Genomic DNA, 19130 nt, shown 5'->3' with positions numbered 1-19130 from the left:
AGAGGGAGAGAGAGAGGACAGCTTACGCCATTATTTCTGCATATCAGAGACTTTTAGTACTTTCACTAATTTTGCTACTGCTATCTAAAAGGCAGAGCCTGGTGTACAGGATGGAACATGAAAGCGGACTAGGAGCGTGGCCAATGAAGCACAGCATCACAGGGAGATGGTTAGGCCTCCGGATAACTGCGGGCAAGCCTGACTGATGTCAGGCCCTCCACAAGAGGTGGAGGAGTAGAGTCTTCTCTAAACTTCCCCGGGGAAAGAGAGACTCCCTTTCCAGGTCTGCTAAGTAGCGGGTGTTTTCCCTTGGCACTGACACTACCGCTAGACCACGGTCCGCTTGGCAACGGGTGTCTTCCAAGGCCCTGGCATTACCGCTAGACCAAGGAGCCCTCTGGTGGCCCTGTCCGGGCATAACAGAAGGCTCACACTCTTGTCTTCTGGTCACTTCTCACTATGTCCCCTCAGCTCCTATCACTGTATGGCCTGGTTTTTCCTAGGTTATGATTATAGAGTGAAGATTCTTATAATATTGGAATAAAGAGTAATTGCTACGAACTAATGATTAATGATATTCATATATAATCATGTCTATGATCTAGATCTAGTATAATTCTTGTTGTTTTATATATTTTATTATACTGAAACAGCTCGTGCCCTCAGTCTTTTGCCTTGGCACCTAGGTGGCTTGCCGCCCACAGATCTCGAACTCCTGACCTCAGGTGATCTGCCCACCTCAGCCTCCCAAAGTGCAGGGATTACAGGTGTGAGCCACCACGCCTGGCCTGGAAGATAATTTTTATGGTCAAGTTTCACTATGTGGTGAGACATTCTGAGGAGCACTTTACCCAAAGGGCAGGGCACCTTCACGTGTCTAAATCTGTGTTGTTCAATAGTGACTCATTCATCTCCACCATGTGCTGAGCCCTGTGCTAAGCACTGGGTGTGCTTGTCCCCCAGGAGATTCATGTGTGTGTGGAGAGGGTGGCAGTGGGGAGGAGTGGGGGCAGACACATTTCAAACAGGAAATCATAGGAACATGGCAGCATCCACGTGAGGTAAGCACAGGGTGCTATGGGACATGACCCGACTCTGTGGGGAGGAGGTGAGGTCCCAGGTCCCCACTCTGTGGGATGGAGGTGAGGTCCCAGGACCTTACTCTGTGGGGTGGAGGTGAGGTCCCAGATCCCGATTCTGTGGGATGGAGGCGAGGTTCCAGGATGGAGATGTCCACACTGAGTAGTACAGGACAGCAAGATTGGCAAGGCTAAGTGGGGAGTGGGGAATGAGAAAGGAGGCTTGAGTCTGGGCTTAGGGGCCAGGTCAAGAGGGCCTTGTGAGCCCTTCTCTGAAGCCAAATTCTTTCCCTGAAGTGGTGAATTGAAAGGATTTAAACACAAGAAGGTGGTGTCAAGGTTAAGATGAAGAAGGATATTAGTTATAATTTGGAGGAGGTAGGGATGACGATCGTAAACAGAAAGGTGGTGATGTTTCTGCATGAAAAAAATGAACTTGAACTAAGGCTTTTGTAGTGAGAATGGAGTGGAGAGGATGACATAAATTTATAGGATTGGATGGCCAACTGGATGAGGAAGAAATGGTGGGAAAGAAAAGAAAGTAAGAGTGAATGCCAGTTTGGGAGCTTGAGTGCCCAGGTGATATGTAGAGACATTCACTAGGATGAGGAATGTATTAGTTAGCTATTGCTGTATAATAAATAATCTCGGCCAGGTGCAATGGCTCATGCCTGTAATCCCAGCACTTTGGGAGGCCGAAGTGGGAGGATCACTTGAGCCTGGGAGTTGGAGACCAGCCTGACCAACATGGTGAAACCCCATCTCTCCTAAAAATTAGCTCGGCATGGTGGTGCACGTCTGTAATCCCAGCTACTCGGGAGGCTGAGGCAGGAGAATCACTTGAACGCAGGAGATGGAGACTGGAGTGAGCCGAGATCGCTCCATTGCGCTCCAGCCTGGGCAATACAGCAAGACCCTGTCTCAAAAAATAAATGAATAAAATAAATAATATCAAAGTTTAGCAGCTTAAAACAACAAACATTGATTATTTCCCAGTGTTTGTAATAGGAATTCAAGAGTGTATTAGCTAGATGGTTCTGGCTTAAGGTATCTTGTTAAGTTGCCATCAAGACATTAGCCAGGCTGCAGGATCTGCCTCCAAGATGGCTCGTTCACATGGCTGTTGGCAGAAGGCTTCAGTTCCTTCCTGGATTTTCACAGGAAGCCTCAGTTCCTTGCCACATGGACTCTCCACAGGGCTGCTTGACTGTCCTTACAACAGGGTAGCTGGTTTCTCCCAGACTGAGAGACCCAAGAGAGAACAAAGCACACAGTGCTTTTTAGGACCTAGCCTTAGAAGTCACCTACCATCCATTCCACCTTATTCTGTTCTTTAGAAGCAAATCATCAGTCCACACTTAAGGGACGGGAAATTAGGCTCCACCTTTTGAAAAGAGTGTCAAAGAATTCATGGACACTTTTCAAAGTCGTCACAGAGAAGGTAGGATGTAGCGGATCTGCGTAGAGGAAGATGTGGGATTAGGTTTTGAACATGTTCAGTTTGAGATCCCTTTGAGCCATCCTGGTTGTGAACTGTAAACTCACTTCCTAAATAAGTATATGCCCCTCTCCAATGTGAGATTATGCCATCTAATTTAATCTTCTCCACAACAAACAAATCTATTCATAGATCTTAAGGTTATAGGAAAAATATTAAAAGAAGCTAGCAAATAGCCTGCAGGCAAGAGGTAGAATTCTCCATGCATCCATCATTCACAGCCAAGGAGTTAATTATTCTCTGAAAAGCAAAGAGGTTGAAATGATAAAAATGTAGGCTTTCCTTCTATTCCTGCTCAGCGTTCCTCAAATTTTCATGTTTAAGCCTCACTGTAAAAAGAAAAAAAAATTGACATGCAAAACCATGTACACTCTATTCAGGGAACAATTCAAGAAAATGTTTGAGGATCATTGAGCTACAAGTGATTTTTTTGCTCCCTGCAGAATTTTAGAATCTGACCCTGGGTAAGGAGGCTGCGTCGTGTCCCCCACCTCTGAGAACCTGAGAATGTTTAGCTGTGGTTTCTGCAGTTTTGCACATTCCCTAAAGAAGGTGTCTGGGCGAGTGCTCGGCGCTTATCTTCCTACTGTGTGCAGTCAGTTTCCAGCTCTCACCTCCCTCCTTCATCTCTCTTCAGCTGGCTGGCTTCTAAGATGCTTCTCCCTGCCTGGCCACAGTGCTTACCTGTTCTAGGATGAGAGAGGCCCAGCTGGGTTAGCGAACTGTTGCTAAAGAGCGTTATTTCATGGGCTTGACCCCAGCTTCCTATTGTAGCATTTCCTGTCTTGGGATTAGCTTGATTAGGCAAAGTGTGAAGCTCAGTGCTGCTTCAGTCTCACCTCCTACTTTGAGTAATTTGATAAGTACTCTGTGGTTCACAGGGTGCCATGTACTGCTGGCTTAAATGGAGCAGCCTACTTTATCAGACAAGAACCCTCAAATGGCAGTCCTCCAGCCCATAGGCTAATTGATATTCTTAACGAGGGAAGGCAAGCACCTCATGAAAGGTTTTGTTTGTGTTTTCTTTTTTCTTTTTATCTCTGTTTCTAGAGACAGCAACCTTATCAGTCCAGCAGATCTTAATAGACTAGAAAGAAGCCAGGAGAGTATTAAGGAACTCTTAACACAAGAGATATTTCTCTTTATGTAATCATTTTCCCAAAATATATCAGCATAACCGTCAGTATTTTTCTAAAGAACAATGGACCCCATGTCATGACCTGCTACTTTACTTTTTATGGAGGTATATATTTCAGTGGCCAATCTTGTAAAAGTGGTTATTCCTGAAAAGGGGTGCCACCTGCTGCTGGATATCCGTGTCTGTCAGGAAACATTACCATCTAGAAATGCTACTGGTATGTGTGTGCCAGCTCTTGGCTCACTGCTCATTTCCTGTTAAAAAGAACCTAATCTCAGGCAAAGCTAATCCTACAACAACAGTCAAATCCCTCCAGATTCAGATACGTTGAAAAAATACAAAATGCAGAATGGGCTTAATTTTGTACCTGTTCTAAAGGCAAGAAGGTGCATTTATGTCCAAAAGTTCTGCATTTGTTGTCCTTCATTCTCTGTCACATACTGCAATTAGCCTTCCATATGAAGAAATGTAAGTATCAGAAACACACAATCTACGAATATACGTGGGCTTCATTCTCAAATTGGAGACTTCCATTTCTATCACCGTTCTTTCTCCATTTGGTGGTATTCAGGATCATTAGAGAAGGTGCAAAGATTTAGCATAAATAGCATCAAGTCACCTAAGAGCATGTTTCTTTTTATAACTTCCTGGGCTGAGTTGAATGCTTAGCTAATTCAGTTCATCTTATTTCCTAAAATCTGAACTTAAGGCTATTTATTTTCCTCTAGGAACTTCTTTAGCTGCTTTCACAAGTTTGGATGTGCAGGGCTTTATTGTTTGGTTACTTACACGTGTGTTTTTTAGTCTCCAAACTGTGATTGGAGACTTTTTGTGATTGATAACTAGAGGTATGGCCCCGAAGTCAGAGAATATAGTACATGTGATGTTGACTTTTGGTATTTTATGAGACATCACGTATGGTAAGTTTTGGTGAGTTCAAAAAAAAAAAACTGTGTTTTTATTGACTGCAGATCTCTCCATTAGATCAAGCTATATTACTGCATTGTTCAGATCTGCCATATTCTTATATATTTCTTTTCAAATTAATTTATAAATTCTTGAGAGGTATACTCAGATTTTACCCCATGAAATTTATTTTGCCTTATAATGTATTTTCAATTTTTGTTTTACATATTTTGAGGCTATGTTGTTAAGAACACATTGGCTCTCAATTATTACATCTTCTGAAGAATTATTCCTTGTATCACTAAATAATAACTTTCTTTAGCCTTAATAATGCCTTTTCTGAAGTCTGTTTTGCTGGGCATTAATACTGTAATGCTGGCCAGGTGCAGTGGCTCATGCCTGTAATCCCAGCACTTTGGGAGGCTGAGGCAGGCAGATCACCTGAGGTCAGGAGTTTGAGACCAGGCTGGCCAACATGGTGAAACCCCATCTCTATTAAAAATACAAAACTTAGCTGGGCATGGTGGCAGGTGCCTGTAATCCTAGCTACTTGGGAGGCTGAGGCAGGAGAATCGCTTAAACCCAGGAGGTGGAGACTTCAGTGAGCCAAGATTGCACCACTGTACTCCAGCCTGGACGACTGTACCAAAAAATACTAACAATAATGATAAATAATAATAATATTGTAATGCTTTCTTGTGTTTAGTATTTCTCTGTTTTTTAAAAATACCACTTTCTTGTCAACACTTCTGCATTATTATGTTTTAGATGTTTCTTTTTTAAGCAGAATGGCTACTGAGGTCTTGGTGACATTACCTGCTATGACAACCCCAAATCTCAGTGGTTTAACACAACAAAGGTTTAGATATTATTCTTTAATCATTATGGCCTCTTTCATGCTATTCTTTTATTTTATTACTTTTATTGCTAATTTTTCTATTTATTGCATCTCCTGGAAATGCCTCAAAGTATTTTTCCCAAGTGTAGTTTATAGGGTTTTTTTATATGAGCTCATCTTTCAGAGAGTTTTTTCTTGCACCTAATTGGATTTCCAGTGAAACTTGCTTGTAGAAGTAAGCACTACCAAGTGGTTTCACATCTGATTCTTTCTTTCTTTCTTTTTTTTTTTTTTTTTTTTGATTCAGAGTCTTGCTCTGTTGCCCAGGCTGGAGTTCAGTGATGTAATCTCGGCTCTCTGCAACTTCCGCCTCCCGGGTTCAGGTGATTCTTCTGCCTCAGCCTCCCAAGTAGCTGGGATTACAGGTGTGCACCACCACACCCGGCTAATTTTTGTATTTTTAGTAGAGATGGGGTTTCACCATCTTGGCCAGGCTGGTCTTGAACTCCTGACCTCATGATCCACCTGCCTCGGCCTCCCAAAGTGTTGGGATTACAGGCGTGAGCCACCGTGCCTGGCCCACATCTGATTCTTTTGGAACCCTAGGGTCCTAGGTGTTCAGTGATCCTAGATGAATTTTCATCTTAATTTCTTGATTCATTTCTACATCATTCAGGTAATATAAATTGAGACATGAGCGGCCCACAGCTAGTGTCTCCAGCTCCTACTGGTTGCTTTTTATTTTCTACCCAAAACCTCCAAGGCCAGAGGAGAGAGTTTTTTTCCATCCCCTTTTTGTTAAGGGGAAAGTTCCTGAAGGTCCAGAGCCCTATATAGAAGTTCAGGTCTAGGCCTTTCTTCCATCACCAGGAGGTCCCTTATGCTGTGAGACCCTAAGTCCTGTGTCCAGTGCAAGAACCCTGTGTGCTAGGTTTTTATCAGCCTTCTATAATAACTCTTTATTTCTGGCACCTGTGGACTTAATCTTATTTTTTTAAGCTTGGAAATGTATTAGTAACTTTTGGAGTATGCTATTTCATATAGCATTTCTTGTATTTTTAATGATACATGGCTTTACACCTTGTCAGACTTAGCCAACACTTCCTAACATCTCTCTTTTAGCAAAGAGGAAAAACCTCTGAGTGAGATTCCAGGGGTTTCTAACTTAAATTTAATAGTATTATTTTATTTTTATTATATTTAATTTTTTCTATATATGTTATTTATTTTATGTAACTTAAATCACTCACCATTTATTTTACGTGAGTGATTTAAGTTTACATATAATGGTTGAGTATCCCTAGTCTGAAATCTAAAATGCTCCAAAATTCATGTTCTTCAGTGCTGACACAACACTCAGAGGAAATGCTCATTGGAGCATTTCAGATTTCAGATCGTCAGAGTAGGGATTCTCAACTTGTAGTATATAATGCAAATATTCCAAAATCCAAAAAAGTCGGAAGGTTTAAATACTTCTGGTCCCAAGCATTTTGGATAAGGGATACTCAACCTGTACACTAGTGATACAAACATTCCTCTCAAAATAACCTTAATAAAATAAGTCAATCTAAAGAAAATGTTAAGTAAATTGGCAAGTGATTAAAGGCTATGACAAAAACCCTAAAGGTGATATATTAATACTCAGTCTTATAGAATATTTAAAAGCATTCAGTGTCTTTTCAAGCTTTTTGTTCCTATATGCTTTGATGCTTTAGCAATCCAGACGTAAAGATATTTACTGTCAATATGAATCTGGGCTAAGAATGTGGAAAATTGGTTACCCAAATCAGGAAATAAATTTTTGAGCATAGCATAAGTCAAATATTCCCTTTGAAACAATAAAGGCCAGCTATATAGTAAGAATGGGCTAGATCGTAATGTGGTAACAAATAACTACAATATCTCAGGGCAAAACACAACAAAAGTTCATTTCTTGTTTACATTTCCAGCAAGCTTTCATCGAGGCCTCTGCTCATCAGAGGCACTCGGGACACAGCCTGGCCGAGCCCCTCCACAGCCACCTATGTGGGAAGAGGATGTGGCTCCTCACACGCTTGCTCCTAAGCCTTCTGCTCAGAAGCGACATCTCTCCCTTCCACTCTTTCTTCATTAGCCAAAGCAAGTCATGTGGCTACCCTAACTTCAAAGGGGACAGGAAAGTGCAATACTACCATGCACTCAAAAGGCAGAGAGCCAGAAATACTTGGTGAAGATCAATATGTCATAATACATTGATCTTCTAACACACATGGTGTTAATGTCACAGTACCATCCAGCAAAGAAACCATGAAGCAGTTTTAATACATCCTCTAGATGGAGACATGTAGCTGTTTCAGCCATAGTACAGCCTGACTTGTGTTTACAACTCCCTCAACCTCTTGGTTAGCTCCATTCTGTATAAAGAAACTCAAAATTAAGTAGAGGCTACAGATAGATAAAGTAAAATACAGACCTTTACACTGGACTGGTTTGTTACCTAACAGATCTTGAGAGGCTTCAGTTACTGATCACAAAACTGCTGTCCTGCTTAGTCAACAACTGCTGTTTGGCCACTTCATTTCTGCAAATGTTTATGGGCTTAATGTATGAATGTGGTTGAAGTATTTACAAAGAGCGTGACTTGGGTTTCTCTTAGATTTGCTTCTAGGCTATTCTGGCTCAGCTTTCCCTCTGTCCCAGGGGTTTTCTAACATGTCCCTATAGCCTTCTTTTTGGGGGGGAGTGGGACGGAGTTTTGCTCTTTTTGCCCAGGCTGGAGTGCAATGGCACCATCTCAGCTCACCACAACCTCTGCCTCCCAGGTTTAAGCAATTCTCCTGCCTCAGCCTCCCGAGTAGCTGGGATTACAGGCATGCGCCACCACACCCAGCTAATTTTGTATTTTTAGTAGAGATGGGGTTTCTCCATCTTGGTCAGGGTGTTCTTGAACTCCCAATATCAGGTGACCCACCCGCCTCAGCCTCCCAAAGTGCTGGGATTATAGGCGTGAGCCACTGCGCCCGGCCTAGCCTTCTTTAATATCCATGGGTTTGTGTGAATCTCTCTCCTTGGGTCATCCGCTGATCACAGCCTTCAGCATTTTTCTTCCCCCGGTGCATGCTAACACAGGGGGAAGAAATCTGTGCCTTCTTCATAGGGTCTCTGCTTTGTGTTGAAAAGGAGCACTTAGAGGCAAAGGCTCTATTTTCTAACATCAATGAGTTGAGGAGCATTTCTAGGCTCTGTGGAGATTTGTGCAGTAATAAGATTATCTTTTACCTGGACTAATGCCCAAATTATAGTGACCTTAATTATGATTTGTCCAACCATGACACATACTTTAATTAAACCACTGCTCCTGTACTATGTTTTAAGTGGAGGGTATGTAATACCTTAAACTCAGACAGTGCTTTATGACTTACAGAGTACTTTTATTTGGATTGTATTTATTCTCCACAGTCACTGTGATGTTGGGTATTATCCCCTTTTAAAATCACAGAAATGGCCAACTAATCTTCTCAGAGTTAATCAGCTTGTTGATACTGGCAGCAGAACTATAACTCAGAACTAAAACCTCATATCCAGGCAGGACTCCTGCAATTATTCCATGATGTTGCCCATAATTCACAATTGTTTAAAAAAATCTATTAAACTTAAGCTGATCCTATCTATTTTAAAACCATCATATTTATTTTGATGCCAAGGCCCACATCCTGTGTGCTCTGTCAGGCAGATAGAAATCTGATATCTTTATTTTTGTTCAAGGTTGACTCTTAGGCAGATAACTAGAAAAATAATGTACATGTGCCTTTAGAATATTTCAGGCTCAATAATTCAATCCAACATAGTAAGTGGTAGAACTAAGATTTAAACCCAGTGGCTCTTAATAGCAGCATTTTGCTACTTGACAGGTACGAGAAGTTTGATGTCAAGGAGAACACACAAAATGACAAAGATCATTGTAAGGAATTCCAAAAACTGCAGGATCATGGGATACCCAGACATCTGTCCCTCTAGGTCCTAGGACTTTCAAAACTGGGGCCTGGTGCAGATCTTCTCTTTGCATACCTCCCCAATCTTTGTTGCTGAATAACGTGGTTTGATTCCACCTATCATAGTGTATCTCTGTTTGGCACAGGTTGTCTTGTTCCTGCTGATACATTATTGTCTGTCTTACATGCCAACCTCTTGCATGCCCCTTTGCTACCAGGGCACAGGTCTAGTTTTAGAGAACACACAGGGTCAAAGCCACAGGAAGAATGTGGACAAAGAAACTCCCTGATGCTGAGCTTTTGAAGGGGTCTCAGGAGTTGGTAGGTAAGTACACAGGCACTTACCTCTATCCAGGGGAGCAGCACTGAGTTTTTGAAGGTAGGGGTCATTGTATTAGCTCCATCATCCCAACTCCACCACGAGAATGAGACGGGTCTGTTTTGTTCCTCTATATCCTCGGCACATAGTAGACACTTAATAGATATTTGTTGAATAAATGAAGCAAATGCAGTAATCGCTAAGGGTGCAGATTATTTTCTTTCATCATAGTGCTTTATTGACAGTAGGGGATTTGACTTGCATCCTGGAGAAGCAGATTAAACTCCAAAGGTTTGGTAGATCCAGCGTTACATAGTGCAAAGTACAGTAAGAGAGGCAGAAGGGGACTAAATTAAGAACTTTAACATAAAGGTTTATCATGTTTAAAATTAGGTTAGTGCCCACATCATAAGGACTCACCCTAGGTGAATGAAATTACGTGAAACTCACAGAGAAGAAATATATATTATGGTAAATGGGGTCTTACTGAACAAAGGTCCAGGGATGAAAATAAATCAAGAGAAATTTATCGTGAACAGTGGTCAGCTTCTTAGAAGAACATATAGATTCGTCACAATTGCCTTTGGTATTTCCTGTTTCCCTACACTTCTTACCAAATGTGCTAATACAGATGGTTGTGGGCTCAGCACTGATTAGAAACAAGAGGTGGGAAGTCATGACCAGAGCCATCTTCACCAACATATATTCACAGTGACTCTTTAAATATTCAAAAAAGGAAGAAAAATAACATCAGTCTATGCCTGCTCAGGAGTGTTAGGCACTTTACTTTTGTAGCTTAATCTTTAAACAACGTGGTGAAGTAGGTGTATATCCCTAGTTTACAAATGAAAACTGAGATCAACAGAATATGCTCTCCCTCTGTCCATGGGAATTTAATTAAAATACTCAAATTTACAGAGTAAGAGATGTGTACAAAGCACATATATTGACCCTGTTGTTAAAAATATATATATATTAAATGTCCCCGAAGTATATTTTATTAGTTGTTTGCATTTCCTATTTCTGAGTTTCCCACTTGGTGTGTGTTTATTAAGTGAGCTAGCAGAAGTGACTTGATGTAAGCAAGTGAAATTGGTGTCCATTTTTCTCATTTACCATAACTGCAGAAAGTCTTTAATTTGGGACCACTTACAGTGGATTCAGTCCCCATACATGGTTTATTTTAAGTGAGTTGAAAATGTTATCCTGGACTCTGTGGGTTTCCTTTTCAAAAGAAATGAAGTCTTACACAGTTGTTGTTGACGCGCTTTGCTTTGCTTTTTTTGCAGACTACTGTCAGAGGATGTAGGAATGGACATCCCCTTTGAAGAGGGCGTGCTGAGTCCCAGTGCTGCAGACATGAGGCCTGGTGAGAGCAGCATTTGTTCATTTCCTTCGTTGGTATTCTGTATCCCAACGTTTTCATTATTCAGTGAAAGAATTATTTCCTGTGCATCTAACTTATGATTTCAGTGATAACAGTGAGAGGAAAAAAGAAATGTGTGATATGAAGGTGTTAGGCTGCATTTGGTTAATTTAAGAGTTGGCTTGAATACTGATGCTCGCTAGTGTGGGCTGCATTTTATCTCCTAGACCACAGCCTTATCTGCCAATGTTTTCAGTTCCTGTGATAATTGGCTACTGTATATTGTACCAAATTCTGACTAATGTCTAAGTTCTCCGCATTTACACATAATTGTAAGAATGTTTAAAATTGGAAATGTGATATCAAGAATGCTCAGTATCCTAACTATCAAAACCAAAACCAAGACAACAACAATAAAAAACAACTACCCTACATTTTAGGGGTTTACAACCCAAGGCATACACAAAAAGGAATTTAATTTTTCAATTGCAACTTATATGACTCTCACTGTATTCCAGGGTCACTCTCTTGCATTACACCAACTCCAGGATCATACCAAGATCCTGAATCATGTATTCTCAGCCAAGCCTACAGTGTGGTAGGAAGAAGGAAGGCAATTACATTTCTTTTCTGTCGTAGTATTTGAAATGCATTCTTCAAAATACTAGTCATGTAACAGAATTATTTCTAAATGTTCTATGGCCAAATATGCTTGGTAACCACAGTATGTTTATTTGAATCTTCCAAGTTCACAATGTACTTTTGAATGATAAAGGCACTAAGGCTATGGTTATCTGATATGGTAAGCAGCTAGTCACATGTGGCTATTTAAATTAATTAAAATTAAAAACAATTTTTTAAAATGCTCTTCTTCAGTTGCACTAGCCTCATTTCAAGTGCTCAATAGCCAAATATAGAACCTTTTCATCATCACAAAGAATTCTTTGGGACATCACTGCTCTGCAAATTCCTGAAATATAGAAACTCAGTGTTGAAACTTACTTGTCAATAGAAACCTTTTTCAAGTAATACATAAAACCATTACCTAGAACAGAGTTTGGGTGATGTTCCATTCAGAAAAGAAAAAGCTTAATGACTGACAGGGGAACAGTGCCAATTTCTCCAGGACAAGGCCAGAGCCAGAATTCCAGAGTTGAAGGGTATGCCAAATGGTCTTCAAAATATTTCGTGCTTAGGAATCCTGTCATTTCTGGTTTTAGGTGAAGGCAACAAACTGTTTTCTCCTACTCTGCTCTCACACTGAACACTTCTGTGACCAGATGTGTAGGGTTTTGTTTTGTTTTGTTTGCCACACACCAAGCAATTTTCTAATGAACACCAACTGGGTGTCCTATAATTCAATTCTGACACTATCCACCTTAGGAAATGACAAGGGTTTTAAGACCTCTGTGCCTGGAACCAGGGCCAAAGACCAAATACATTTCTTATTATACTACAGTAGGGTATGTCTCTACCTTTGTTTTGTTAGTTTAAGCTTGGTTAAAAAATGACTTCTCCAGCTCTGCTTCTATTAAATGAAAGGCAGCTGAGCGGGAAGATGCATACTACAATGAGAGGAGGGAGCCTACACATAAGATTGTCACTTATGTTATGGGAACCAATGTCAAGCGAGATTGGCATAAGAGCTGGTGACTGCTTGGGTGAGTTCAAAGAATGTTACCTGGGAGGATACTTCGGCCAGGTAAAGGGCACTGAAGATCATATACAGAGTTGTCAGGACCTAAAAGAAGTATTTTGGGAGTGTCTGTGAACATGACAAAGTTCTTAACGTACATTCCATAGGAGCAAAGTCAACACAAACGATTAGAAAATATAGTTGGCCCTTTCTATCCATGGTTCCAAATCCGTGGATTCAACCTACCACAGAAGAAAAATATTCAAAGAAAAAAAAATCGCATCTGTACTGAACATGTACAAACTTTTTTTCCTGGTCATTATTTCTAAACACAGTGCAAACACTATTTACTTTGTATTAGGTATTATAATTATTCTAGAGATGATTTGAAGTATACAGAAGGATGTGCATGGGTTATATGTCAACACTACACCATTTTATATTAGGGACTTGAGCATCTGTACATTTTAGTTTCCACCAGGGGTCCTGGAATCAATCCCTTATGGATATCAAGGGACAACTGTATATGTAAACTTAACTATTTTTCTTATGCAGTATACCCCGTGAAAATTTAATTCAATTATTATAGCAATTTCAAGTTTTCAAACTTGAACAGGGAAATTCTAAAAACTAGTTATCTAACCATTTAGTAATAACTCCTACTTCCTGTTTCTACATGGCCAAGGCTGAGGGGGTTGGGAGGATCCAGTTACAGAGGGCTGCTTTCAAGAAGGGTGTCTATATCTCATACAAAGATTTCTATCAGGTCTGCTTTTGCTGAAAGGACTTTAAAAATGTTTTCCACTGGGCCCAAACCCACTCTTGGCAGCCACGTATAGGTTAAGTATCCCTTACTTAAATGCTTGGACCAGAGTGTTTCAGATTTTGGATTTTTTCAGATTTTGGAATATTTGGATTATACTTACTGGCTGAACATCCCAAATTCAAAATTCTGAAATCCAAAATGCTCCAGTGAGTATTTCCTTGACACGTCATGTTGGCACTCAAAAAGTTTCAGATTTTGGAGCATTTGGGATTTTGAAATTTTTGATTTAGATTGCTCCTCTGGTTTAATACTTGATGTTGCTGTTCTCTTTCTTCTTTAGAACCTCCTAATTCTCTGGATCTTAATGACACTCATCCTCGGAGAATCAAGCTCACAGCCCCAAATATCAATCTTTCTCTGGACCAAAGTGAAGGATCTATTCTCTCTGATGATAACTTGGACAGTCCAGATGAAATTGACATCAATGTGGATGAACTTGATACCCCCGATGAAGCAGATTCTTTTGAGTACACTGGCCATGGTAAGTCACTAAGTTGGCAAGGCCAAAGTTAAATGCTAAATAAGTAAAAGATTTTCTAACAGACCTCTCATTTTTGTGCCAGTGGATCCTTTTTGTGATTTCTAGAAGCTTCTGTTTTTATTTCAGGTTATAGGTGGCCATGATTGACAGTTTGGAGCCTGACAGAGAAAGTATGGGTCACAGAGGCCATACATAACCATTGCTCTTTATTAACCCCCACTCTGTGCTAGCATTTATGCTAGGCACTGGGGCTGAGGGAAGACTGTTACATGCTGTGTTACAAGAAACCTGGGGCTGGGTTTGCAGGGGAAGAGAATTTAATCAGGACGATAAAATTTGAAGAAGAGAAATCAGAGCTTGCCAATTTCTTGTATAAGTTCCCACTATCTGCAATGTTCTTTTCCCCAGATCCTTACGTGACTGACTCCTTCTCTTTATTCAGATGTTAATCAGATGTCACCTCCTCAGAGAAGTCTTCCTTGACCTCTGTAATCAAAGATGCTTCCCACTTCCCGACTCCCACCACCTAGTCACTCTCTGTCCCAGTGTTCATTTTATTTTCCACGTATCACTAATTCAAATTGTATTATTTAACTATTTGTTTGCATCTTTATTGTCTTTCTCTTACCACTCGAATGTATGCTCCACAGGAGCAAGGACTTTATATTTGATCCTGCGTCTCCAATAAAGTGGGAAGGAAGGAAGGGATGGTTTAGGGGGAGTGAGAGAAATGATAAAAAAGAAGATAATTAAAAGTTTTCAGATCATCCAAGACTGACACTCCTGATATGAACTTCAGTCTTTCTTTAGTTCTTTCTCTTACTCTATGAAATCTGGTTTAAGAAATATGTACAAATACAATCATTTTTTTTTAAATGGCATTATGTAGTTTCTGTTTCAGTTCTAGCCAGGGTGGAATTCTCTGAAGTTATAATATTTGAAAGTGAAAGCGAGAGAGTCTGGGACACAGCTATTGCTTTTATTCATTTTTAAAATTCACGCAATCTTAAAAGCAATACAGTGCCACAATTAAGTGGTGGCCTGACTTTTAGAGACATGCTAATTCTAGCAGTTCCACTCCTAGAAGAGCATAATTAGAAAATTCACCAAATTAGCTAATTATTTCAACCAATGGTCATTGAGCCGACATGAGCAGTGCAGTTCAGACTCTACCTTGACAGAGCTTAAGGCTTTATTTCCTCAAAAAGGAAATGGCTAAACGACTTGTTTTATAGTCTATTATGCTTAAGTAGAGTTTTTTTTTTCCATAAGTTATTGGGGTACAGGTGGTATTTGGTTACATGAGTAAGTTCTTTAGTGTAAGTAGAGATTTTATATTGCATTTTTATCATGTGTGAATTTCTGTAGTTATCTGGGTAGTTGATTCTGTAGGTTGAAATACACAAATAGGAGGTGAAAGAAGGTCTGGAATTTGTACTATTTCCTGTCATCCCAGAGAGTCTTCAGCAGCTCCTCTATCCATCCCAGTTGCCCCTACCAGCTCCTGCTCCTTTCCTGCTAATATATTGACAAAATCCCACAGAAGACTGTGGCATGACCCAACTGGCCCCTCTCTTGCCTCCGTATTTGCTTCCTTTTTGTCAGGAGAGCTTTGTCACACCACATCTGAACCTTTTATTTTTAAACATAGTAAAACTGTCGAGCAAAGCAGTGGTGGCTGGGCAAGCTGGTAATTAACACTGCCACTTGCTGACATGGCTCTTTTAATGTAGTTAACATAGCTGTGTTGAAAGAACCAGTTTAATGGCCACAACCCTGTTTTAGGTCTTAAATGCAAAGGACAGAATTGTAAACTAAGTTGAATTTTTAAATCTACCTTAATTTTCAAATGAAAGATATATAGTCAGAGGTTGAAACTTTGAAAACACAAAGTGCCTCTGAATAGCTATATTTTGTAAACATGAGGACATGGATAAGTGACTGTATAAGAGGGTTGGATTATAAATATGTTTGAGTTCTGAAGTATGAAATAAATGCTTGAAAGCAGCCTGTTTCTTAGGTTTCTCACGCGACCATTTTGAACCAGGAATGTACATTCTAAACAAAATAGGGGTTTTTAAGGTATAGTTTTTCAAAAACATTTGGGCCATAATTTATTTTCTTTTAATGAATACTTTTTCATTTATATTATATTTTTCGTGTATATATTTTCATTATATATGTTTCATTATATATTATATATTTGTACTATATATTTTTCATTTATATAGTTTTCATTGTATATTATATACCTCATTATATTATATAATTCATTATATAGTTTTCATTTAATTTATTTCATTTTATAACTAGAACAATGAAGCACAGAGAAGTTAAGTAATTTGCCTAAGGTCACACAGCTCATTGTTGCCCTTAGTTCCTGGCCCATGCTGCTTCCCAGTGAATATGCTAACAATGAATGGGAAAGGGTCTGTTACCAGATTGGACTTACATACTTGAAGCCAAACATGATAGCTCTTGCTCACATTTAGGCCTCTTTTTATCCAGTTTTCCTGACTTGCGGGAGACTCTAAAAAAAAAAAAGTAAGCGTTACTCTACCAAATGCCTAAAGGTTTTCAGGCCATTTGCCTGTTTTATTCAGTAGCTGATGACCAAACACCTCTGCCAGGGTTTTTGCTCACAATGCAATTTTGCTTATGGAAAATTTGTGAAGCTCACTATCAAATATATTCAATTGGTCTTCTCTTTCAAGCAATTTTCTTTAATAGTTGTGTCCATGGAATTGGTAAACTATAAGACATCAGCAAAATGGAATACTTGAGGGCTACTCTTAAAAATGAGCAGGATTTATATTTACTGAGACAAAAAGCCTATTCTATCTATCTATCTATCTATCTATCTATCTATCATCTATCTATCTATCTATCTATACTTTAAGACAGGCCCTCACTATGTCACCTAGGCTGGAGTGCACTGATGTAATCTCAGCCCACTGCCACCTCGACCACCCAGGCTCAGGTGACCCTCCTACCTTAGCCTCCTGAGTAGCTGGGACTACAGGCATGTGCCACCATACCCAGCTAATTGGTATATTTTTTTGTAGAGATGAGGTTTTGCCACGTTTCCCAGGCTGGTCTCAAACCTGTACTGTTTTAATAGATGATAGGAACAAATTATAGAACAATCTGTATAGAACATGCAGAATATATAGAATAATCATACTCTTTGAAAAATAAACGTGTCTGTGTATGTGCAGAGGAAGAATAATACACATCACACAGTAACAGATAAGTGGCATTGGTCATTCTCATTGTTTTCATGAAGCATGTCTGTATTCCTGGTACTTTCATTAATGCTTTTTGCTTTTTAAAAATTAATGAACTTTATTCTTTAGAGCAACTTTAGGTTCACAGCAAATCTGAGCGGAGAGTACAGAGTTTTCCTGTACCTGTTTCTCTACAAACATTCACCCTCCTTCACTGTCTACATCCCTTGCCAAGTGGTTGGGTTGTTACAACTGATGAACCTGCATTGACACATCATTATCACCCAAGGTCCATAGTTTACATGAGGGGTTCAGCTGTTTGTTTCTCACTTACTATAAAGTCTTTGTGTGGTATATTTTGAAACAGTACATAGAAAGTAATATCAAATTTATGTCCAGATGTGCTCCCAGTAGGGGGCTCAGCCCAGTTGTAAGAGTCTTAGAGTAGGAGTCTTGGCTTGTAGTATCATCACGATTCCAAGTTGTGCACTCTATGTGTTTAAGCAAATGTATAGTGGCAGCATTTATCCACCATTGTAGTATCATACAGAATCGTTTTTCTGCCTTAATTCTCTGTGCTCTGCCTATGTCTCCCTTTCCCGCAACCCCTAGCAATCACTGATGCTTTTACTGTCTCCATAGTTTTGCCTCTTCCAGAATCCATGTAGTTGGACTCATACAATATGCAGCTTTTTCAGACTGGCTTCCTTCACTTACGCAATTAAGGTTCCTCCATATCCTTTCATGGCTTGAAAGATCATTTCTTTTTAATGCTGAATAATATTCCATTGTCTGGACAAGTCACAGGTTATTTTCCATTCACCTACTGAAGGACGTCTTGGCTGCTTCCAAGTTTTGGCAATTATGAATGAAGCTGCTATAAACATACATGTGAAGCCTTTTGTGTGGGCATACATTTTCAGTGCATTTGGGTAATTACCAAGGAGTATGATGGCTAGATTGTAAGGTAAGAGTATGCTTAATTTTGTAAGAAACTGCCAAACTCTTCCAAAGTGGCTGGACCATTTTGCATTCCCACCAGCAATGAATGCGAGTTCCTGTCGCTTTGCATTCTCACCAGCATTTGGTGTCAGGGTTTTGGATTTGGGCCATTCTAATAGGTATGTAGTGGTATCTTGCTATTGTTTTAATTTGAAATTCTGTAATGACACATGATATTGAATATCTTTTCACATGCTTACCTGTCACCTGTATATCTTCTTTGTGAGGTACCTGTCCAGGTCTTTTGCCCATTTTCTTATTGTTGAGTTTTTGTTGTTGTTGTTGTTGTTTTTGAGACACAGTCTCGTGCTGTCGCCAGGCTGGAGTGCAGTGACGCAATCTCGGTTCACTGCAACCTCTAGCTCTTGGGTTCAAGCGATTCCCCTGTGTCAGCCTCCCAAGTAGCTGGGATTACAGATGCATGCCACCATGCGCAGCTAATGTTTTGTATTTTAGTAGAAACAGGGTTTCACCATGTTGGCAGGATGGTCTTGATCTCCTGACCTCGTGATCCACCCACCTCAGCCTCCCAAAGTGCTGGGATTACAGGCGTGAGCCACTGCACCTGGCCTTATTGTTGAGTATTAAGCATTCTTTGTATATTTTGGATAACAGTCCTCATCAGATATGTGTTTTGCAAATGTTTTCTCCCAGTCTGTGGCTTGTCTTCTTATTCTCATTCTCTTGATTTTTGTCTTTTATATAGTAGTTTTAATTTCAATGAAGTCCACCTTATCAATTATTTCTTTCATGGATCATGCCTTTGGTGTTGTATCTAAAAAGTCATCTTTGCATCCAAGGCCAGTTACATTTTCTCTTCTAAAAGTTTTACAGTTTTGAATT

General features: G+C 39.9%; 1 protein-coding gene and 1 long non-coding RNA gene across 55 annotated transcripts in view; one reads left to right on the top strand and one right to left on the bottom strand.

Annotated features, from left to right (window-relative positions):
• LOC105376095 (uncharacterized) overlaps positions 1-19130 on the bottom strand; it is an 84799-nt gene that overhangs the window by 11166 nt on the left and 54503 nt on the right. For 3 of the 13 annotated variants that reach the window (XR_007061586.1, XR_002956900.2, XR_007061594.1), the window contains 3 exons: positions 16511-16588; positions 9776-12856; positions 2002-2906 (listed from right to left, as the gene is read on the bottom strand). This is a non-coding gene — a long non-coding RNA (uncharacterized LOC105376095). The other 10 variants (XR_007061589.1, XR_007061591.1, XR_007061592.1 and 7 more) reach the window with 10 other exon arrangements.
• Positions 1-19130, top strand: part of PRUNE2 (prune homolog 2 with BCH domain) — a 294739-nt gene that overhangs the window by 239574 nt on the left and 36035 nt on the right. For all 42 annotated transcript variants that reach the window (NR_131751.2, XM_047422884.1, XM_017014349.2 and 39 more), the window contains 2 exons: positions 11039-11118; positions 13858-14058. Coding sequence is in view for 41 of the 42 variants with exons in the window: in XM_047422884.1 (XP_047278840.1) it covers positions 11039-11118; positions 13858-14058 (281 nt within the window). In the remaining variant the exon portion in view is untranslated. The remainder of the gene's footprint in view (positions 1-11038; positions 11119-13857; positions 14059-19130) is intronic.

The sequence above is a fragment of the Homo sapiens genome, chromosome 9, assembly GCF_000001405.40.
Source record: "Homo sapiens chromosome 9, GRCh38.p14 Primary Assembly".
In the NCBI taxonomy this organism is placed as follows: Eukaryota; Metazoa; Chordata; class Mammalia; order Primates; family Hominidae; genus Homo; species Homo sapiens.
Note: the sequence above shows the minus strand (reverse complement) of the source record. Positions and strands in the feature narration are given on the sequence as shown.